The sequence below is a fragment of the Homo sapiens genome, chromosome 10, assembly GCF_000001405.40.
Source record: "Homo sapiens chromosome 10, GRCh38.p14 Primary Assembly".
Taxonomy (NCBI): Eukaryota; Metazoa; Chordata; class Mammalia; order Primates; family Hominidae; genus Homo; species Homo sapiens.
The window spans coordinates 92,313,523-92,337,406 of NC_000010.11; the positions used below are offsets into that span (position 1 = coordinate 92,313,523).

The window sequence follows — 23,884 nt, forward strand, 5'->3', positions numbered from 1 at the left end:
TAAACCCGGGAGGCAGAGCTTGCAGTGAGCCAAGATAGCGCCACAGCACTCCAGCCTGGGAGATAGAGCGAGACGCCGTGCTAAAAAAAAAAATTGTGGCGGGTCACAGTGGCTCACACCTGTAATCCCAACACTTTGGGAAGCTGGGGCGAGTAGATTGCTTGAGACCAGCCTGGGCAACAGGGTGAAACTCCATCTCTACCAAAAATAACAAAAAAAAATTAGCTGGGCATGGTGGCACACACCTGTAGTCCCAGCTACTCAGGAGGCTGAGGTGGGAGGATTGCCTTAGCCTGTGAGGTGGAGGCCACAGTGAGCTGTGATTGCGCCACTGTACTCCAGCTTGGGAGACAGAGTGAGACCCTGTCTGAACAACAAAAAAGAATTGTGGCCAGTCATGGTAGCTCACATCTGTAATCCCAGCACTTTTGAGGCTCAGGTGGGTGGATTGCTTGTGGTTACGAGGTCAGGATCAGCCTAGGCAACATAGCAAAACCTTGTCTCTCTACAAAAAAGAAAAAGAAAAAGAAAAAAAATTAGCCAAGTGTGATGGAGCACACCTGTTGTAAGTCCTAGCTACTCGGGAGGCTCAGCTGGGAGGATCACTTGAGCCCAGGAGTTTGGGGCTGCATTGAGCTATGATTGCGCCACTACCCTCTAGCCTGGGTGACAGAGTGAAACCAATCTTAAATAAAAGAGAGAATTATAATTTTACTCTCAAATGATATGTTCAAGCTGGTCACTATACTGTCTGTCATAGAGGTATGGCACTTGAGTTAGCCGCTTAAAATCATAGATATGTTTTAATGACATCAGTGTTATAAAAAAAAATGAATATCCGCTGGGCACGGTGGCTCACGCCTGTAATCCCAACACTGGGAGGCCAAGGCAGGCGGATCACCTGATATCAGGAGTTCAAGACCAGCTTGGCCAACATGGTGAAACCTTGTGTCTACTAAAAATACAAAAATTAGCCAGGCGTGGTGGCAGGCGCCTGTAATCCCAGCTACTTGGGAGGCTGAGGTAGGACAATCACGTGAACCTGGGAGGCAGAGGTTGCTGTGAGCCAAGCTCACACCATTGCACTCCAGCCTGGGCGACAGAGCAAGACTCTGTCTCAAAAAAAGAAAAAAAAAAGTATATCCTTCATTTGAGTAGGTATTGTTAGCATATTTCCTCTTGACAAAACAGAAAAACAGAGTATTTGCTGCTGCTGCTTCCCCCCGCCCCCCCCCGCCAATAGAGGTTGGGTCTTGCTATGTTGTCCAGGCTTGTCTCAAACTCCTGGGCTCAAGCAATCCACCTACCTTGGCCTCCCAAAGTGCTAGGATCACAGGCATGAGCCACTGTGTGCCCAGCCTGCCGCTGCATTCTTAACATGCTGAAGATACCTATTCAAGGGCTGCAATTTTAATTATATTCACAATTTTCCATGCAGTTATTAACAATGACTCAAGCCAGCTGTTGTCTGTAAATGAAGCCATGTGTGAATTGGCTTTCAGGTGGTGGGCTCTTCATTGCTGCACACAAAGCTAGTGCTCTAGCTATGCTGATTCCAGCACAACTTTTCAATTCAAGTTTCAAAAATAATTGTTGGTTAAAAGAAAATATCTTCTTCTAAAACTTTTAAAAAGTTGCTTGTATTTCTTGATTAACATGTTACATTCGTATATACTAAGAGTTGATTCGTACTCTGTACGCTAGTGGCTTCATGCAGCCATTAAACAAAATACTTAAGAGCCTGCATCTGTGATAATAATTGTTCTTCCTCTCTGTATAACACACGTAGCACGTAATGTCCGATAGTGTCATCTGATGATAGAATTTTGCCAGTAGATTGTTTTGTTTCTGTCTGAGCACATTTGTCATTAATTTTGCAGCTGACAGTAGTTGAATCTGTTTTGTTAAAAGAAGTACCTTTGACTATTATTTTGATCTTTTAATGACAGAATTCATAGTGGAGGCTTTGGTTGGTTTACTGGAGTTGTTGAAAATGATATGAACACTTCAGTGGCTTCTTGTCCCTATTTAATAATGTATCACAATACGGTGGGAACAAGGATGTCTCCTAGTACAGTGTTATCACTCCTAGTTCACTGGTCACAGCTCATTCTAAGATCAGTCTTCACTATAAAATCATACTATTATCATTTATGGCATTCTGAGTTAAATGTATTTTTCACTTTTACTCTTTTGAACCATTGATTCATTTCCCTAAATTTGGGATTTAACACAATATGATAGTAACAATAAAATACATATTTAACCAATGTAAACAACTCACATGATGTGGAAGTATGTTAGCCCTTTCCTTTTCATTTTCCTTATTATGATAGTGTTTTCTTAACTTACCCTAGTAGAGCTTGGGTGATCCTTAGAATGTAACAGCAATAAAGAACCTAAAAGGATTTCTGTGAAAGTCATAATCTCCTCAAATTTGTGAAATATTTGTGATCAAAACTTTTATCACTTTTTTCTCAAACTGTCTGTAGACCAAATAGATTGCCAGGGACTGCCATTGGTCCCCAAAGACACTTGATAAACACTGACTAGAAGAAGGAATAAAAGAAGATACAGAGAGGGAAAGGTGATGATGGTTAATATTCTATGGGATGATCTCTATGCAGCAGATTTTGTGTTTTTTTTTTAACTTTTCAAATGAATTTAGCCCCAGTCTGGATGATGCTAGCTGGCCAATTCTGCATCTTTTCTGGTACTTAGTCATGGCAGGAATGAAGAGGTAATATAAGTGTATGTTCTTCATTGTTAATAGGGAGTTACTTATTGTACTCAGTTGTGAAAAACTTAAGAGGATTCGTCAGAGTTTTATCCTTCTCACTGTTTGCCACCCATGTTACAGTTTGCTTTTTTCTTTTTTTCTGGTGAGCCAAGCCAGTTGTATGTATGTACCTACTTAAAACCTTGCTACTCAAAGTATGATCTGAGGACCAGCAACATTAGCATTGTCTGGCAGTTATTAGGAATGCAGAACACCACCCCCTTCCTCCACCCCACTTTTACTGAATAGAAGTCTGCTTTTTTTAATTTTTATTTTTTAAAGACAGTGTTTTGCTTTGTTGCCTACGCTGGAGTACAGCAGCATGATCATAGCTCACTGCAGCCTCAGACTCCTGGGCTCAAGCAGTCTTCTTGCCTCAGCCTTCCAAGTAGATGGGGTTACAGGCACGTGCCACCACACCCAGCTAATTTTTTTTTTCTTTTTAGAGAGGGGGATCACTATGTTGCCCAGTCTCAAACTTCCTGGCCTCAAGGGATCCCCCTCCCAAACCCCGTTGGCCTTCCAAAGTACTGAGAATGTAGGCAAGAACCACCACACCCAGCTGAAATGTGCATTTTAATGAGATAATTGAGTGATTTCTATGCACATTAAATTTAAAAACCATTGCTTTAAAACATGAAAGGAATACCAACTGAAAAAAGTTTGTTTTATAAATAAAACCTGTCCATAAACTTTGAGACCTGGTAATAACCTTGTTCAGGCAGAAGAATTCAGAGGAGAGCATCTCAAAGGTAGAGAGATCTTGACTCCCAAGGGACTGATTCACACTAGATTTATTTTCTTTTATTATTATTATTTTTTGAGACGGATCTCGCACTGTCATCTAGGCTAGAGTGCAGTGGTGCGAAGTTGGCTCACTGCAACCTCTGCCTCCTGGGTTCAAGCAGTTTCTCCTGCCTCGGCCTCCCTGGGATTACAGACATGCGCCAGCACGCCTGACTAATTTTTGTATTTTTTGTAGAGACAGGGTTTCACCACGTTGCCCAGGCTGGTCTCAAATTCCTGACCTCAGGTGATCCACCCACCTTGGCCTCCCAAAATCCTGGGATTGCAGGTGTGAGCCACCACGCCCAGGCAAGATTTATTTTCTTTAACTTCTCTCAACATTGTTTTATAGTTTTTAGATTTTTTTTTTAGTTTTTAAATTTGTTTCTAAATATTTTGTTCTTTTTGATACATTGTGTAAATGGAATTGTTTTCTTAACTTTGTTTTTAGATTGTTTAAGTATGTAGAATACAATTTTTGTTTTCTGTCTTGGAACACAATCAGCAACAATTGATTTTTGTAAATTGACCTTGTATCCTGTGACCTTGCTGAACTTGCTTAATAATTTGGATACTTCTTGATGGATTCCTTAGGATTTTCTAATATAAGATCATGTCATTGTTGAACAGAAATAGTTTTACTTTTTGTTTCCCAATCTGAATGCTTTTTTTTTTTTTTTTGAGGCACAGTCTCGCTCTGTTGCCCAGGCTGGAGTACAGCGCCATGATCTCAGCTCACTGCAACCTCTGCCTCCTGGGTTCTGTCAGTTCTCCTGTCTCACCCTCTCCAGTAGCTGGGATTACAGGCACACGCCACCATGCCCAGCTAAGTTTTGTAGTTTTAGTAGAGACAGTGTTTCACCATGTTGGCCAGGCTGGTCTAGAACTCCTGACCTCAGGTGATCCACCCGCCTAAGCCTCCCAAAGTGCTGGGATTACAGGTGTGAGCCACCATGCCTGGCCCAATGTGAATCATTTATTTCATTTTCTTGGCTAATTGCCCTGGTTATAACCTTTAGTGCAGTATTAAATAGAAGTGATGAAAGCAGATATCCTTGGCTGGGAGCCGTGGCTCATACCTGTAATCCCAGCACTTTGGGAGGCTGAGGCAGGCAGATTGCTTGAGTGCAGGAGTTTGAAACCAGCCTCGGCAACATAGCAAAACTCCATCTCTACTAAAAATACAAAAAATTAGCCAGGTCTAAGAGCACACCTATAGTCCCAGCTACTCAGGAGGCTGAGGCGCTAGAATCACTTGAACCCGAGAGGCGGAGGTTTCAGTGTATCAAGAGAATGCCACTGGACTCCAGCCTGGGCAACTGGAGTGAGACCCTGTCTCAAAAAAAAAAAAAAAAATGGCTAGGGGCCCACAACTGTAATCCCAGCATTTTGGGAGGACAAGGCAGGCAGATTGCTTGAGCCCAGGAGTTCGAGACCAGCCTGGGGAACATGGCAAAACCCAGTCTCCACAAAAAAATACAGAAAATTAGCCAGGTATGGTGGTGTGCACCTGGGGTCGCAGCTACAAACAATAAAGGGAGAGAGAAAGAACGGAAAAAAAAAAAACAGACATCCTTATCTTGTTCTTGTTCTTAGGGGGAAATCATCCAATCTTTTCTTTTTTTTCTAAGATGGAATCTCACTCTTGTCTCCCAGGCTGGAGTGCAGTGGCACAATCTCGGCTCACTGCAACCTCTGCCTACTGCAGAGGTTGGTACACGTGATTCTCCTGCCTCGGCCTCCCAAGTAGCTGGAATTACAGGCACCCACCACCAAGCCTGGCTAATTTTTGTATTTTTAGTAGAGTTGGGGTTTCACCATGTTGGCCAGGCTGGTCTCAAACTCCTGACCTCAGGTGATCCACCCGCCTCGGCCTCCTAAAGTGCTGGGATTACAGGCGTGAGCCGCTGTGCCTGACGACTTTTCACCGTTAACTATAGCCGTACTACACTGTACTTAATGTTTAGGTCAATAACAACCACAGTGGTGGTCCCCTAAGATTATAATTGAGTCGAAAAATTCCCATCACCTTGTGGCATTGTAGCTGTGGTAACATAGTAGTGCAATGCATCATTCACCTGATTGTGGTGATGAAGGTATAAACAAACCTGTACTAGCAGTCATATAAAAATATAACATGTAACAGTTTTATACAGTACATAATGCTTGGTAATAAATGACTGTGTTACTGGTTTATGTATCTACTTTACTTTTTTTTTTTTTTTGAGACGGAGTTTCGCTCTTGTCGCCCAGGCTGGAGTGCAGTGGCGCGATCTCGACTCACTGCAAGCTCCGCCTCCCGGGTTCACGCCATTCTCCTGCCTCAGCCTCCCGTGTAGCTGGGACTACAGGCGCACGCCACCATGCCCGGCTAATTTTTGTATTTTTAGTAGAGACGGGGTTTCACCGTGTTAGCCAGGATGGTCTCGATCTCCTGACCTCGTGATCTGCCTGTCTCGGCCTCCCAAAGTGCTGGGATTACAGGCGTGAGCCACCGCGCCCGGCCTCTACTTTACTTTTTATCATTACTTTTAAAAAATTTTGTGTGTTTGTTTTTTGTTTTTTTGTTTTTTGTTTTTTTTTCTGAGAGGGAGTCTTACTCTGTTGCCCAGGTTGGAGTGCAGTGGCGCAATCTCGGCTCACTGCAACCTCCGCCTCCCAGGTTGAAGCAATTCTCCTGCCTCAGCCTCCTGAGTAGCTGGGATTACAGGCACCTGCCACCGTGCCCAGCTAATTTTTGTATTTCAGTATAGACAGGGTTTCACCATGTTGATCAGGCTGGTCTCGAGCTTCTGACCTCATGATCTGCCCGTCTTGGCCTCCCAAAGTGCTGGGATTACAGGCGTGAGCCACTGCACCTGGCCAAAAAAAAAAAAAAATTTCTTTTCTTTTTTTTTTTTTTGAGACAGAGTCTCACTCTGTTGCCCAGGCTGGAGTGCAGTGGTGCAATCTCAGCTTACTGCAAAAAAAATTTTTTTAATATAGAGACAGGGTCTTACTGTGTCACCCAGGCTGGAGTGCAGTGTCATGATCATAGCTCATTGTAATCTTGAACTCCTGGGCTCAAGGGATCCTCCTGCTTCAGCCTCCCAAATAGCTGGGACTACAGGTGCATGCCACCAAACCTGGCTAATTTTTTTTTTATTTTTTGTAGAGACAAGGTCGTGCTTTGTTGCCCAGGCTGATTTCTCTCTTCTGACTTACAGGGGCCTTCCTTCCTTGGCCTCCCAAAGCACTGTGATTACAGGCATGATCCACCATACCCAACCACTTGTTATCATTATTTTAGAGTATACTTCTTTTACTTAAAAAGTAACTGTAAAACAGCCTCAGGCATATCCTTCAGGAGGTGTTTCAGAAGAAGGCATTATTCTCATAGGAGATAGTAGCTTCATGTTTGTTTTTGCCCCTGAAGACCTTCTAGTGGGACAAGATGTAGAGATGGAAGACAATGATATTAATTGATGATCCTGACCCTGTGTAGGCCTAGGCTAATGTGTGTATTTGTGTCTTAGTTTTTAACAAAAAAGTTTAAAAAGTAAGAATAATAAATTTTAAAAATAGAAAAAAGCTTATAAAATAAGGATAAAAAATTTTTCGCACAACTGTACAATATGTGTTTTAAGCTGTTAATACAAAAGAGTCAAAGTTAAAGTTAAAAGTGTATAGAGTTTAAAAGTTACAGTAAGCTAAGGTTAATTTATTATTAAAAATTATAAATTCAGTGTAATAAGTGTACAATGTGTATAAAGTCTATAATAGTGTATAGTAATGTCTTAGGCCTTCACATTCACTCATCACCCATTCACTGAATCACCCAGAGCAACTTCCAGACTTCCAGCCTTGGAAGCTCCATTCATGATTAAGTGTTCTATACAGGTATACCATCTTTTATCTTTTATACCATATTTTTACTGTACCTTTCCTATGTTTAGGAACGCAAATACCATTGTATTTGCCTACAGTATTCAATACAGTAACATGCTGTGCAGGTTTGTAGGCTAAGAGCAGTAGGCTATACCATATAGCCTAGGTGTGTAAATAGGCTACACCATACCGACTCTGTGATGTGCACAAAACTACAAAATGGCCTAAGGACACATTTATCCCTGTGTGTGGATACCCATCATTGAGTAACACGTGAGTGTATGTTAACTGGGTTTTTCAGAGATGGCCTTTATCAGGTTGAGGATGTCCCATCTATTTGTAGTTTGTTGAGGGCTTTTGTCATGAAAAAGTGTTGGGTTTTGTCAAATGCTGTTTCTCTGTCTATTGATAATCATGTGAGTATTGTTCTGTATTCTAATAATATGGCATATTGGTTGATTTTCATATTAGACTCGCCTGGGGTTCCTGGGATAAGTTCTACTTGGTCATGTTTGCTAGTACTTTGTTGGGAACTTTTGTGTCTGTACTCATAATGGGTATTGGTCTGTAGTTCTTTTGTGACATCTTTGGTTTTGGTGCTGGAATCATACTGGCTCATAGGATAAGTTGGGAAGTGATCCCTCCTTTATGTTTTTTAAAAGAGTTTGTGAAGGATTGGTGTTTTAAATGTTTGGGAGCAGTGAAGCCATTTGGTCCTGGGCTTTTCTTCATGGAAAATGTTTTAATTACTAATTCAATCTCATTACTTACAGGTCTATTCAGATTTTCTATTTCTTCTTGAATTAGTTTTGATAGTTTGTATCATACAAATTTGTCCATTTCATGTATATTATCTAATTTGTTGGCATATAGTTATTTATAGTATTTTTTAATAATCCTTTTCATTTCTGTAAGATTGGTAGTAATGCCCCTTCCTTAATTCATGATTTTAGTCATTTGAATCTTCTCTTTTTTTCTGGTCAGTCTAGCTAAAGATTTGTCAGGGTTGGCCAGGCGTGGTGGCTCATGCCTGTAATCCCAGCACTTTGGGAGGCCGAGGCGGGCGGATCACCTGAGGTCGGGAGTTCAAGACCAGCCTGACCAACATGGAAAAACCCCGTCTCTACTAAAAATATAAAATTAGCCGGGCATGGTGGCGGGCACCTATAATCCCAGCTACTTGGGAGGCTGAAGCAGCAGAATCACTTGAACCCAGGAGGCGAAGGTTTCAGTGAGCCGAGATCACACCACTGCACTCCAGCCTGGGCAACAAGAGCGAAACTCCGTCTCAAAAAAAAAAAAAAAAAAAAAAAAAAAAGATTTGTCAGAGTTTTTTCTTTCTATTCTTGCATTCTCTGTTTCATTTTTATCCACCCTAATATTTATGTCCTTTCTTCCTTCTGCTTGATTTGGGTTTAGTTTGCTTTTCTCCTTTTAGTTTCTTAAGGTAGAAGATTAGTTGACTTGGGATCTTTCTTTTTGTCCTTTTTTTTTTTTTTTTTTGAGACAGGGCCTCACTCTGTCAAACATGCTGGGATGCAGTGGCACAATCTCAGCTTGCTGTAACCTTGACTTCCTGGGCTCAAGTGATCCTCCCACCTCAGCCTCCCAAGTAGCTGGGACTGCAGGTGCTCATCACCATACCCAGCTAGTTTTTGTATTTTTTTTTTTTTTTATAGTGACAGGGTTTTGCCATGTTGTCCAGGCTGGTCTCATACTCCTGAGCTCAAGTAATCAGCCCAGCTAGGCCTCCCAAAGTGCACCATCACATCTAGCCCTTTTTTTTTTCTTTCTTTGTTTTTGAGATGGAGTGTCGCCCTGTCGCCAGGCTGGAGTGCAGTGGCATGATCTCAGCTCACTGCAACCTCCGCCTCCTGGGTTCAAGCAATTCTCCTGCCTCAGCCTCCTGAGTAGCTGGGACTATAGGCGTGCACCACCACGCCCAGCTAATTTTTATATTTTTAGTAGAGACGGGGTTTCACCATGTTGGCCAGGATGGTCTTGATCTCTTGACCTCGTGATCCACCCACCTTGGCCTCCCAAAGTGCTGGGATTACAGGCGTGAGCCACCGGTCCCCAGCCACCTTCTTTATTCTTTTTCAGTCTTGCCATGTTGCTCAGGCTGGAGTGCAGTAGCTGTTAACAGGTGCAGTCATAGTACACTGCAGCCTTGAACTCATGGGCTCAAGTGATCTTCCTGCGTCAGTATCCTGGTTAGCTGGGAGTACAGGTGTATGCCACTGCACCCAGCCCCTCTTTCTGTTTCTGTTATTTTTAAATAGATTTTAGAGCCTTTTTAGGTTCACAGTAAACCATATGCCAGCCTCCACCCCTGACCACACACACACAGAGTGCTGACTACTTTCCCCACTATCAACATCTTGTACCAGAGTGTTACATTTTTTACAGTCAGCGAACTTAAGTTGACACATCATTACCACCCAGAGTGTCCATAGTTTACATTAGGGTTCACTCTTGGTTTTGACAACTGTATAATTTATAATGTATAAAGGGTTGATTCAGGGTTTTGACAACTGTATAATAACATGTATCCACCATTATAGTATTATACAGAATAGTTTCACTGACCTAAAAATCCTCTATGCTCCATCTGTTCATCCCTCCCCGAGCTCCTGGCCACCATACATCTTTTTTTTTCTCCATGGTTTTCCCTTTTCCACAAGGTCATATAGTTGGACTCGTACAGTATGTAGCCTTTTCAGATTGTCTTTCATTTAGTAACATGCATTTAATTTCCTCTGTGTCTTTTTGTAGCTTGGTAGATCATTTCATTTTAGTACTGAATACTCTTACATTGTCTGGATGTCCCACAGTTTATCCATTCATGTACTGAAAGACATCTTGGTTGCTTTCAAGTTTTGGCTATTATGAATAAAGCTGTACACATCCATGTACAGAATTTTGTGTGGACATAAATTTTCAACTCATTGGGGTAAATACCAAGGAGCATGATTGCTGGATTGTATGATACAAGTATGTTTAGTTTTGTAAGAAGCCTTGAAACTATCCTCCAAAGTGGCTGTACCATGTACCATTTTGCATTTTCACCAGCAATGGATGGGAGTTCCTGTTGCTCCACATCCTTGCCAGTGTTTTTGATTTGGGTCATTCTGATAGATGTATAGAGGTATCTCATTTTAATTTGAAATTTTCTAATGACATATGATGTGAAACATCTTTGCATTTGTTTATATGCCATCTGTATATCTTCTTTGATGAGGTGTACACTTTAAAATCAGAGTGATAGTTTTCTCATTGTTGACCTTTAAGAGTTCTTTGGATATTTTGGATAAAAGTTCTTTGTCAGATGTCTTGGGCAGATCTTTTCTCCTTGGTTGTCTTCTCATTCTCTTAATCTTTCTCCTTTTCTTTCTTTCTTTCTTTCTATTTATTTATCTATTTATGAGACGGAGTCTCACTCTGTTGCCCAGGCTAGAGTGCAGTGGCACAGTCTTGGCTCACTGCAAGCTCTGCCTCCTGGGTTCATGCCATTCTCCTGCCTCAGCCCCCCGAATAGCTGGGACTACAGGCGCCTGCTACCACGCCCGGCTAATTTTTTTGTATTTTTAGTAGAGACAGGGTTTCACTGTGTTAGCTAGGATGGTCTTGATCTCCTGACCTCATGCCGCACCCGGCCTCTCATTTTCTAATGTCATTTACAACTAGAAGTTTTCCTCTAAGCACTGCTTTAGCTGTATATCATAATTTTTGTTGGGTTTTCATTTATCTCAAAATATTTTCTAATTTTTCTTGTGATTTCTTCTTTGACTCACTGATTATTTAGGAATGTAGTGTTTAATTTTCACATATTTGTAAATTTCCCAGATGTCCTTCTGTTACTGATTTTTTTTTTATTTCATTGTGATCAGAGAGCATACTCTGTCTGATTTTTTAACTATATTAAAACTTTTTTTAATGGCCTAACGTAGGTTTATCCTGGAGAATGTTCCATGTGCACTTGAGAAAAACATGTATTCTGCTGCTGTTGGAGTAGTCTATAAATGTCTAGTTGATTCTGGTATTTTCAAGTTTTCCATTTCCTTGTTATCTTTTACCTGTTTATTATTTAAAATAGAGTGGTGAGTGGTGGCTTGTGCCTATAATCCCAGCACTTTGGAAGGTCGAGGCGGGGGGATCATTTGCGCCTAGAAGTTAAAGACCAGCCTGAGCAACATAGTGAGACCCTGTCTCTACAAAAAAAAAGAAAAAGAAAAACTTTAGCCAGGCATGGTGGCACATGCCTGTGGTCTCTGCTAGCTCAGGAGGCTGAAGCAGGAGGATTGCCTGAGCCCAAGAGTTCCAGACTGCAACGAGCTGTTATTGCACTGCTGCACTCCAGCCTGGGCAACAGAGTAAAACCTTATGTCTTAAATAAAAAGAGAGAGAGTGGGGCATAGAAGTCTCCAATTACTGTTAAATTGCCTGTTCCTCTGGTTCCATACGTCTTTGCTTAATTTATTTTGGCGCTCTGTTAAGTGCACATATTTATAATTGTTAGGTCAAGTGCACATATTTATAATTGTTACGTCGTCCTGATGGATTGTCCCTTTACCATTATAAAATATCCTTTTTTGTTTCTAATAGCAATTTTGTCATAAAAATCCCTTGACCAATATTTGTATAGCTATTTCAGCTCTCTTATATCTCATTAAGAGTAAATTCTTAGTTTTCAAGTTAAATTTTTGTCATCTTTATTTTATTATTTATGTATTATTTATTTGAGATGGAGTCTTGCTGTGTCGCACAGGCTGGAGTGCAGCTGCACGATCTTGGCTCTCTGCAACCTCTGCCTCCCAGGTTCAAGCAATTCTCCTGCCTCAGCCTCCCGAGTAGCTGGGATTACAGGTGTGCACCACCACACCTGGCTAATTTTTTGTATTTTGAATAGAGATGAGGTTTCACCATGTTGGCCAGGCTGGTCTCAAACTCCTGATCTCCAGTGATCCGCCTGCCTTGGCCTCCCAAAGTTCTGGGATTACAGGCATGAGCCACCGTGCCCAGCTACTCTTATTTTATTGTTGCTCTTATAACTAAACATTAATTGAAACTTCTTATATAGAATTTTACCAGTAACCATCCTCAAAAAGTGGTTGTCAAATGTTAAGTGGAGTGTAAATGCTTAGAAGGGAAAGATTTTCACTAGGGATGAATAGGACCAATTCCTGGGAGAAACCTTCCTAGAGAATCTAGGATATAAAATTAATAGTTGTAACTATTTTATTTTATTTTACAATAAATATCAATAGCTATCATTTGCTAATAGGCCCCTATTGCCTATTCTTCCATTCTCTGTTTCATTCTAGGCACTATGTCGATCACTTTGCCTATATTATTTAAACCTCTCGAAAGCTCTGCATAATAGATATTGTCCTCAGTTTGTAGATAAGAAGTAGACTCAGCAAATTTATGTAATGGAAGCCCATGGGCTTCCAGCAAATAAAGCAAGGAGCCAGAATTTTACACTGGCAAATTTCTTGTTACTGTCACTCAGTGAGTCAGCTAATAGGCCACATATGGATAAGTAGTTTCTAGTACCATAAGAACTAATAGAGATAATGTGAATTTGAATTAATTTGAGAGACTGTTAATAAATTACACAAATGATGTGTAAGTAACAAAAATTTTATGAGTTGGTACCACTAGAATTGAAAGACAAGTGTATTGCCAAAAAACAAAATGATAGCTAGGTGCCTGCACTAACAAATTGCCTGTTCTCTTTTCTTTCTTGATATTTGCTTTGCTAGAAATGGAAAGGAATAGCAAATACATCAAAGAGAAGATGGAGCAACTGCAATATCTCATAAGCAGTTTTTTTTTTTTTTAACTCATTTGATGTTTAAGTTTATATTTTTCCCCCAGGTAATGCATTGACACAGTCAAAAATTCAAAGACACGAGGTACAGTAGGATATTTAATGAAAAGTCTTTCTACTATGTCTGCCAGCCATGGTGCCAAGTAAGTTTTCTTACTTGGTTATAAATTATAACTATCGTTATAAATTTCTGGTATTTCATTGCAGTTTGTTTCTCTTTTTCTTCTCTCTCCTTCATTCTTCTCCTCTCCCTCTCTCCCTACACTTACACAGAATCTACAAACGTAAGAGTTAAAGGAACATCAAGGGAGAGGGAAGTACCCAGGGTTTAGCAAGCTACTTGCAAGCTACTTGCAATGAGGGAACCAGGGAAAAAAACTTTAACACTTTTACCACTCTCTGATGTTCTGGTCTCTCCTATCATTTGAACACATCAGAAACTAGAGGGCAAGGTTGCCTAAACTTTTTTTTTTTCTTAGCAGTATATCGTAGATACCATTTTGTATTCATATATGAAGAGCTTTTTTTTTTTTCTATTAAAAGTAGCCTGGATAAAGAGCTTTTTAAAAAAAAAAACTGTGTTCATACATAGATGTATGATTACTTATATAATCAGTCTTCCTCCATTGATGGACATACAGGCTTGTTTCCAATCTTTTACTGTTATAGACAGTACTTTCATAAACAACTTTGGGAAGTAATTTTATGCATGTGTGCAAATACATCTGTAAGATAAATGACTAGAAATAGAATTACTGGGTCAAAGGTATGTGCATTTATAACATAATGGATATCCTATAATTGGCTTTTGTAGAGATTACACCCATTTAATCTCCCAACGGTGTATTGGAGTGCCTGCTTCCCCATTGCCTTTGCCAACATGCTGCTATCAATACACAGAACTAGTTATATCTGCTGCCTTAGCATTGACCAAAGCTCAGCAGAATGCTCACTCAGGTATTTTTTTTCTCTTTTATTATGAAATATTTCATTTGTGGAAAAGGAATATATCGCAGTTTCATGTGAGAAGAGATAAACAGGGCGAAGTCAACAACACCCTTGAAAAAGCTAGCATAAAAGGGAAAAAAAAAGTAAGTTTACAGTGGAGAAATGTGGCAAACACTACAACAGCCAAATAATCAAGGTCATTATCACCAGTAATGATTCATGTAGGTATTATGTACATTTGATCTGATGCAATGAGAATTGCACTTTGCCTCTCTGGTCTTCTTCCCTGAAACTCCTAACTCCAAGAGATAATGAGAAAAACACCAGACAAATTCCAGTTGAGGGATATTATACAAAATACCTGGTCAGTACTCCTCAAGATTGTCAAGGTCATCAAAAGCAAAGAAGTCTGAGAAACTGTCATAGCCAAGAGGAGTGTAAGGAGACATGACTAAATGTAATTCACATGTCTTTATTCTGTTCCAGAATCTTATCCAAGATACCACATTACATTTAGTCATGTCTCCTTACACTCCTCTTGGCTATGACCTTGATTATTTGGCTGTTGTAGTGTTTGCCACATTTCTCCACTGTAAAGTTACTTTTTTTTTTTTTTTTGCCCTTTTTTGCCAGCTTTTTCAATGGTGGTGTTGATTTTGCCCTGTTTATCTCTTCTCATCCTTTTATTTTTAATTCTTTTGGGTTCTTTTTTACATTTATTGTGATACTGATATAGCTGGATTTTTATCATCAGATTTTGTGCATTCTATTTGTCCTACTTTTTCCTTTAAGTTTTATGCTTTATTTCTCTACCTAAGTGGTTATTCTTGAAAAGTCTTGGCTTTTATCACTTCAGATATTGCTTTTCCCCCATTCTTTCCATTCTCATTTTGTAGAACTCTGAGTAGAGTTATATTAGACATTTTTCCTTTTTTTGTTATGATAGAATTTTTCATTTCCTGGGCTTTGTTATGCTGATACACTACGAACACTTGGCTGTTTAATATGTTGCCCTATCCTCTGCATTTTGTGTAAACTGGTGTTTAGATCTTGTCAGTGAGGTTATTATATATATATATATATATATTTTTTTTTTTTTTACAGGAATATCTGATAGATAGTTTGTGTGCTTCTTATTGCATCACATCACAAGGCACATAATGTGTAGTTGTTCTTTTTATGATAAGACCGATCAGTGTGTATAGGTGTTATCAGCCTGATCCATTCAGTAAAGTTGCCTATTCATTTCCACCTAGTTTTAGCAGAGATTGATAATTTATTTTTCATTGCCTCTAGGTCCATTGTTTCATTAAGTAATACAAAACATTGTCACTCTAATGTTTTCATTCTTTCTTCATTTATTGGCTTAGAAAATTTATGTTATCAATCAAGAAGAGATTGCTGAGTCAGAGGGTAAATTGAACATAGAATTTTGCTGGGTATTGCCAAATTTCCTGCCACAGGTGCTGAATCATTTTGTGTATTCACCTGCAATATGTGAGTGTGCCTATTTCCTCATGCTTTGCCAGTAGGATGTGTTAGCAAACTGAGATTTTAGCCAGTCTGTTAAGAAAAGATAACTTATTGTAGTTTTAATACACATTTCTTTATCAGTGAGGAGGCTAAACCATTTTAAAGTAAGAATACTTAGATTGTAAAAGGGTACTATAGAGTAAGAAATATATTTTCCCCAAACTTAAAACTTCATGGCTTCAATTTTATGGGGGTTTTATATTTTTGACTGATAAATCCCAAGGTATCAGTTACTCCATAAAAATACTCCCCATTGTTTTTCCTCTAGCCACATGGCCTTCTGTCACTCACATGAACTCAACCTATTTCTTTTCTGCCTGCTCATAAAATATATCATTGGTTTATTTCACTACCTAAAAAACAAATATGGACTTAAGAACTCAAGTACTCTCTTCATATTAATAAAAGTTTCTAGTAATATTTACACTTAGCCTTCAGAGAAATGTTTTCTTTTTACTTTGCTATATAGAAGTTCCTATGTATGATCAAAATAAAGAAAAATTTAAAAACCTAAGTCCTATTCCATAGTGATTTAGTCTTTGAATAATCTTTGTTGTCAAAGTTTATAGTTAGAGAACTCATTTAGTCTTTTTTGAGACAGAGATTTGCTCTTGTTGCCCAGGCTGGAGTGCAATGGCACAATCTTGGCTCACTGTAACCTCCGCCTCCCGGGTTCAAGCAGTTCTGCCTCAGCCTCCCGAGTAGCTGGAATTACAGGCTCCTACCACCACGCCCAACTAACTTTTGTATTTTTATTAGAGACGGGGTTTCACCAGGTTGGCCAGGCTGGTCTTAAACTCCTGACCTCAGGTGATTCACCCGCCTTGGCCTCCAAAAGTGCTGGGATTACAGGCATGAGCCACCATGCCTGGCCCTTCATTTAGTCTTTTGTAGCCCTCATTGGTTACCTTCTTGTGAGGCAAATGACTAGGATACCTTCAGAATAAGAGTTCCTTTTGTTTACTGCTGGATCATGTTTGGTCTTGCTCCCTAAGTCTTAAAAGTAGATTAGTTTTAAGAAGTATCTTTCAACAGTGTGAGACTTTCTGGGTACACACTGTATATGAATAAAAGTAGCTGAATTACAGGTCCAAAACATAACTATACAATCTTTTTTTAAAAGGAGGGGAGGATAACTGCTCTTTATCAAGAGAATCTAAATTCTCTTGATGTCTTCATTTTCCCTTTACATTGCCAGATTTCTTGGCTCCTTTGACTCCTTCCTTTGCTCCTTGTCCTGGATCTTTAAGGAAAAGGGCACCTATTCTTTATTTCTCACCTGAGGATTTCCTGAAATTGTCTTATTTGTATTCCAGAGCTATATACCACAAGTTTTTTCTCAGACACCTGCTGTCTTTGATTATGCCTTCTACTCCACTGTCCTATAATGTTTAACATCGTTTGCCCTTTTGGGGTGACCATATAGTTTAGAACTGGAAGAAATAATAGCTGACACAAGATCGTTACTACGTAACATTAAGTACTAAGAGCTTCATATGAATTATTTTAATTTTTACAAAAACTCTGATATACATAACACCTTCATTGTACAGATGCAGAAATTCAGGCCCAGAGATGGCACTTTGTCCCAATTCACACAGCAGACCCAACCTAATCCTTACCCACCTTGTTTTGTTACAGCCTAATGAGCCTAATACACAACCTTCTCATATACAGGGAAGAAGAAAATTCAGTGGTAATGTCAGGTTACCTTCCTCAGGGTAATGGTTACCTGAAGTTTATAACTCATTGTTCTTTTCTAAAATACAGTTTTTCTTATTAATAAGAACAATTATATTATCATCATGGAAAATGTGAAAAATATACACATATGTTTAAAGAAAAAAAGACTGTGTTATACAGTTAACTGGCATATATGTAGTATGTGCATAATTAGTGCTGCCAGCTGTTTTTATGTGTTAATAAAGGATGATTGGTGGTGGTGACTTTTTTCAGCAAAGTTTTTCACTTCCAGTTAGAAGGCTCTTCTTAGCATGCCCTGCTTGGTTTTACCTTGATTCAGTTGTGCTTTTTCTTCTTCACTTGGAATTGGCCTTCTTTTCACATCAGAGACTTCAAGTTTAGGTCAAGATTCATTTATTTAAAAAAACAAACAAAACAAACAGCAATTTTTAAAAACTGTTTGTATCCTTACCTCCTCCCCCCCCATAATCTTTACCTAAAATTTTCTTAACATCTGTATAGTTTGTACCATACTATCATATCTTTATTAATTTTGCATTGGAAGTTTTCAGTTGTTTTATGTATATTGTTTGTCCCTAACTAGATTGTAGACTCCTAGGGGGCAGCAGCTAGTGTGTTAAATATAATTTACATTTATTTTAATACGTAGTAAAATGTGTTTACAATAGATGCTTAATAAGTACTTAGTAGTTGACCTTACAGCTCACAAGTATTCTGTAGCCTATTATTTTATGAGTATAAATTTAAAATTTCCCTTGGCATAAATTATATAATCATAAGGAACTACTGTGGTGATCTTCAGTGATTAATCATGGAAATGCAATATATGAATTTATAGATATAGCATATATAACTATGTACCATATATATTTTCATATATAATCATATATATGTTTTTATATATAATCATATATATGTATATATAATCATATATATGTATATATAATCATATATATGTATATATAATCGTATATATATGTATATATATAATCGTATATATATATGTATATATATAATCACTCATCTGCTTTGACCTGAAGTCTTTTATTCTTCAGGGTTGTTTGGGTTAGTTGGTTTGTTTGTGGGTCCTTTTTTTTTTCTTTTTTTGGTCAGATACTATTTTGGACCAGGCATAGTGTCTCATGTCTATAATCCCAGCACTTTGGGATGCCAGTCACTTGAAGCCAAGAGGTTGAGACCAGCTGGGGCAACATAGCAAGATACCATTTCTACAATAAAATATATATAATTAACTTAGTTATCTAAAAAGTTGTCCAAGAACATATCCCTTCTTTACAATCTAATGATTAACCTTTTGTTATTAAGCAAAGTAACTTACAGCGTAAGTTTGCAGGATGTTTGTTCTTACATAAAGATGGTGAAATCTCAAACTACCAGCAGAGCAGTCAATCAGAGATGAAACTTACATAAGCGACTTTTCTGGGGCTCTTGGACCTAGCCTCCAAAGTGTAGTGTTTAAAACAGTGGGGAATGCTAGAGAAAGAGGTAAAACTCTTTACTATCGCATTAGGATTCCCCATCCTTTTTTTTTTTTTTTTTTTTTTGAGACGGAGTTTGGCTCTTGTTGCCCAGGCTAGAGTGCAATGGCGCAATCTTGGCTCACTACAACCTCCACCTCCTGGGTTCAAGTGATTCTCCTACCTCAGCCTCCCAAGTAGCTGGGATTACAGGCGCACGCCACCATGCCCAGCTAATTTTTGTATTTTTAGTAGAGACAGGGTTTCCCCATGTTGGCCAGGATGGTCTCAATCTCTTGACTTTGAGATCCACCTGCCTCAGCCTCCCAAAGTTCTGGGATTACAGGTGTGAGCCACCGCACCCAGCCTCCCACATACTTTTAATCAAGTTTGTTGTATTACTTGATATCTTCAATAAAATTCACATTTGTTGGCCGGGTGCGGTGGCTCACGCCTGTAATCCCAGCACTTTGGGAGGGCAAGGCGGGCGGATTACCTGAGGTCAGGAGTTCGAGATCAGCCTGGGCATGTGAAACCACGTCTCTACTAAAAATACAAAATTAGCCAGGCATGGTGACACATGACTGTAATCCCAGCTACTCGGGAGGCTGAGGCAGGAGAATCGCTTGAACCTGGGAGGCGGAGGATGCGGTGAGCCAAGATCGCACCATTGCACTCCAGCCTGGGCAACAAGAGTAAATCTCCGTCTTGCCAAAAGAAAAAAAAAAAAAGAAAAAAAAAATTCACGTTTGTTGGCTTGGGACCATATAATTAATACTTTTTTTTTTTTCCCTTAAAATGTCCATTTAACAACAGATTGAGTCAAGTACTGGCCACAGAGTACTGTGGCTAGGTCCTGTGCCATTATATTCCAGTGCCTTGTAGAAAAGGCCAAAGTGCCCCATACTGCCAAGTACCATGTGCTGAGATAGCTGTGGCCCAGAGGGTCCTTGAGAGTGATGCCAATCATCATTAAAAAGCATTTTTTAAGCACCGATCTGTACATGGTTCTGTCCTAGGCACTGTACAAAACGAGTTAAACAGACATGGCCCTTGCCCCCTGGGAGTTTTCAGTCTAAGATGATGCTGACATGGACAGACATAAAGGATATTGAGACAACTGAACAAACATTGAACAAGAACATAAAGTACTAACATTATGCACAAGCAAAGGGGTAAGTGTATTTTGTGGGGTAGTATGTAAAGGAAGCCTCATGGGACATGGACAGGGTGGGGTAGTCAGCCTCTATCAAGTTAAGTTAGTCTTTGCTGAGAAGTTGGATTTTTATACAGATTTAATCAAAGTAAGGACAGGACATTCCAGACATGTAGCAAAAAGACTTGGAGCAAGGATGAAAGTTTATATTGTTAAACTGTCAGTGGCCTCAAAAATCTGTACTTCTGGGTGGCTCTGAAAATGGGGTTGGTGTCTTAGCTTTAGAAAGTTGCCATTTGAGGGCCGGGTGCAGTGCCTCACGCCTGTAATCCCATCACTTTGGGAGGCCGAGGCGGGTGGATCATTTGAGACCAGAAGTTCTAGACCAGCCTGGGTGACATGGCAAAACCCCATCTCCGCTAAAAATAAAAAAATTAGCTAGGTGTGGTGGCATGTACCTGTAATCTTAGCTACTTGGGAGGCTGAGGTGGGAGAATCGCTTGAACCCGGGAGGCAGAGGTTGCTGTGAGCTGACATTGCGCCAGTGCACTCCAGCCTGGGCTATAGAGCGAGACTCTGTCTCGGAAGAAAGTTGGCATTTGAGTTTGGTCTAGGTCGAAATCAGTTCAATGCAAAGCAAAAAGCAAACAGAAAAAACATGGGAACTTGAGTGGCTTCTGTGAGCAGTCTGTCTTGCTTGTTGAATCTCTTTTATAAATTATTGGCCACTTAACAGAAGGAACTTATCGTCTCAGAAACTTATACCAGGTTGTCTTGTAAAGTACCTGTTTATGCTCATTAAATCATGTTCTGTGTTAGAAACTTTCGCACAACAAAGTATAGAATTATGTTTCTCTGCCAGTCCAAGTGCATTGGTATTTACAACTAATTGATCACAACCAGTTACATATTTCTTTGTTTCTTCTCCACTCCAACAGCTTCACTTGACTAGCCTCTAGGAGTTCTGGGTGTTATTATAAGCAATGCCAGCAAATGCTGAACATTAAGTATTACCTACCTGCCCTTCAGTCATTGACTTCTGAACTTCCAAGGTGTACCTTTAGCAGCCAAAATATAAATTTTAATTTATATTACAGTGGCAGCAAAAATCTACTTTTGTTTGCTATGTCTGCCAGACAAAACTGATTACTTCTTTTTTAGTAGACATTGACTTACAAGCCCCAGTAGTTCTCAGCTCACTTTTTTATGTCATTCATGTCTGAAACGTGAAAACTTGAATTTACCCAGAATATTAGGGTGTAGTTGTTCTCTTTACAAAAGCTTCTTTATTATACAAAAGAAGTAATAGTTTCCCTGCTAATTCCAAGCTTCTCTGGTGCCCTTTAAATTAATAGATTTTCAAAACTTAATATTTATACAAAGCTTCAGTTGCCATTCGTTATGTAAATACAGTGCTATTAGAAACATAAGTGTTGAGGCCCACTAAGGCATTAAAAATTCAATAATACCTTTTGAAAATATTGAAACTTTCTCAAGCCCCTATATATTTAACTTGTAAGGTACATTTATTATAGTTCTTCCTCTCCACCAGAATTAAGGTTTTCAAAGGCTGCTGTCTTGCCTTTTTCTACTTCCCATAACTTTTTGTGGTGTAATCTGACAGCAATAAGAATCTAATAAATGTTGCTTTTTTCCTAAGTTTACAACCCCTGGCCCCAAATCATGAGATAGTAGCACATAAACTTCATAGGAAGAGTATGAATTAGAGACTGTCCTCCAAAAGATTTCAGTGATTGTTCTTACTCACCAAATAGCTTGCCAGATAATCTTTAGCTCTCAGAAATACCTCCCCTGGGTGGCAGTTTATTATTCTAATGGTATGCTTAGCACTAGGCATTTATCTTTTCTTTTAAGTATTAAGCTAATCTTAGACTAGTGTCTGGAAAAGCCTTAAGAGATTTAGACAAAGTAAACTTAAGAGAAAAGCCAAGACAGAATTTTGTCAGAAAAACTAGAATTAGGTGCTATAAAATGCAACCTTTGCCTCCATTTTATCTGGTACATCTTTTGCCTATAACACAAGAGATGAGTAGAAAATTTCCAAAGAGGAAATATGAAGACTTTTTTTTCTTATTCAAAAGAATTCACACCCAATGATTCAGGAAGAAAATTGAGCTTGTTAGAAGCTTCTGAGATCTTCCAAGGAAAAACAAGAAAAACAATTCAAACATCTGTAGGCTGTCACTGTTCATGATAGATAAAAGTAATAGTGATGGGTTATATTTTAGGAATTATGCTTTCATTCAAATATTTGAATTTTGTTTTAAGGAATTATATTGCTTTACTCCATCAGTAGGTAGTTCCAAGTACAAGACAATTCAGTTCAACAAATGATTGAGAGTAGTAGGAACTTGGGGTAAATCAATGATGAAAACAAAGATCATTTTCCCTTTGGAGGTTTGTTTTTGTTTTTTTGGTTTTTTCTGAGACGGAGTTTCGCTCTTGTTGCCCAGGCTGGAATGCAATGGTGCCATCTCAGCTCACTGCAACCTCTGCCTCCCAGGTTCGAGCGATTCTTCTGCCTCAGCCTCCTGAGTAGCTGGGATTACAAGCACACACCACCACGCCCGGCTAATTGTTTGTATTTTTAGTAGAAACGGGGTTTCACCATGTTAGCCATGCTGGTCTCAAACTCCTGACCTCAGGTGATCCGCCCACCTTGGCCTCCCAAAGTGCTGGGATTACAGGTGGGAGCCACCATGCCCGGCCTGGAGCTTATTTTCCGATGCAAAAATCAGCAAACCTTTCTGTAAAGAACCAGATAGTAAATATTTTAGACTTTGCATGTGCCCATGTTCCAATAAAACTTAATTTACAAAAACAGGCAGATGTCTGAATTTAGCATACAGGCCCTAGTTTCCCAACCTCTGTTACAGTAAGTGGAAACATAATTAATATGTAAATTAGGGTATGTTATGTGATAAGTGCTTTAGGAAAAAGAAAAATAGAGCAAGGTAATCAAATGGGGAGTGTGATGAAGTAGGGGTTCGTAGGGTGGGCTTCATTGAGGTCAAGAAGAAGAGGAAGGGGCATGGTGGCACACACCTGTAGTCTCAGCTACTCAAGAGGCTTAGATGGGAGGATCACTTCAGCCAGGGGTTAAGCCAGCCTGGGCAATATAATAGTGAGACTCCATGTCTAAAAAGAGAAAGAACCAGCAAAGGAGACTGAAAATTGAGTAGTGAAATAGAAAGAAAAACGAGAGATGTTCTGGGATTGGCCCAGTGGCTCACTGCTGTAATCCCAGCACTTTGGAAGGCCAAGGTGGGCAGATCGCTTGAGCCTAAGAATTTGAGACCAGCCTAGGCAACGTGGCAAAACCTCATCTCTGCAAAAAATACAAAGGTTAGCCAGGCGTGGTGGTGCACACCTGTAGTCCCAGCTACTTGGGAGGCTGAAGCAGAGGACTGCTTGAGCCCAGGAGGCGGAAATTACAGTGAGCCAAGATGACGCCATTGCACTTCCGCCTGGGTGACAGAGTGAGACTCTGTCTCAAAAAAAAAAAAAAGAGGAAAACTGAGATTAGATTTGGCTAAATGGAGGTTGCTAGTGACCTTGATAAGCAGTTTTGGTGGAGTGGGTTCAAAACTAAGGAGAGAGATAGAGGGCCGGGCGCAGTGGCTCACACCTGTAATCCCAACACTTCGGGAGGCTGAGGTGGGCGGATCACCTGAAGTCGGAGTTCAAGACCAATCTGACAAACATGGAGAAACCCTGTCTCTACTAAAACTACAAAATTAGCCGGGCGTGGTGGCACATAACTGTAATCCCAGCCACTC

The 23,884-nt window shown here is 39.7% G+C and overlaps 1 protein-coding gene and 1 pseudogene across 2 annotated transcripts in view; both read left to right on the plus strand.

The window, feature by feature from the left end:
* Positions 1-23,884, plus strand: part of MARCHF5 (membrane associated ring-CH-type finger 5) — a 62,798-nt gene that overhangs the window by 22,356 nt on the left and 16,558 nt on the right. Inside the window, exon 2 of one of the 2 annotated variants that reach the window (XM_047425382.1) lies at positions 19,948-20,103. The exons of the other annotated variant lie outside the window; for it this stretch is intronic. Coding sequence (XP_047281338.1) covers positions 20,088-20,103 — 16 coding nt within the window. The 5' untranslated portion in view covers positions 19,948-20,087. The remainder of the gene's footprint in view (positions 1-19,947; positions 20,104-23,884) is intronic. 2 annotated transcript variants of the gene reach the window in all.
* On the plus strand, positions 20,946-21,039 carry RNY3P12 (RNY3 pseudogene 12; annotated as a pseudogene).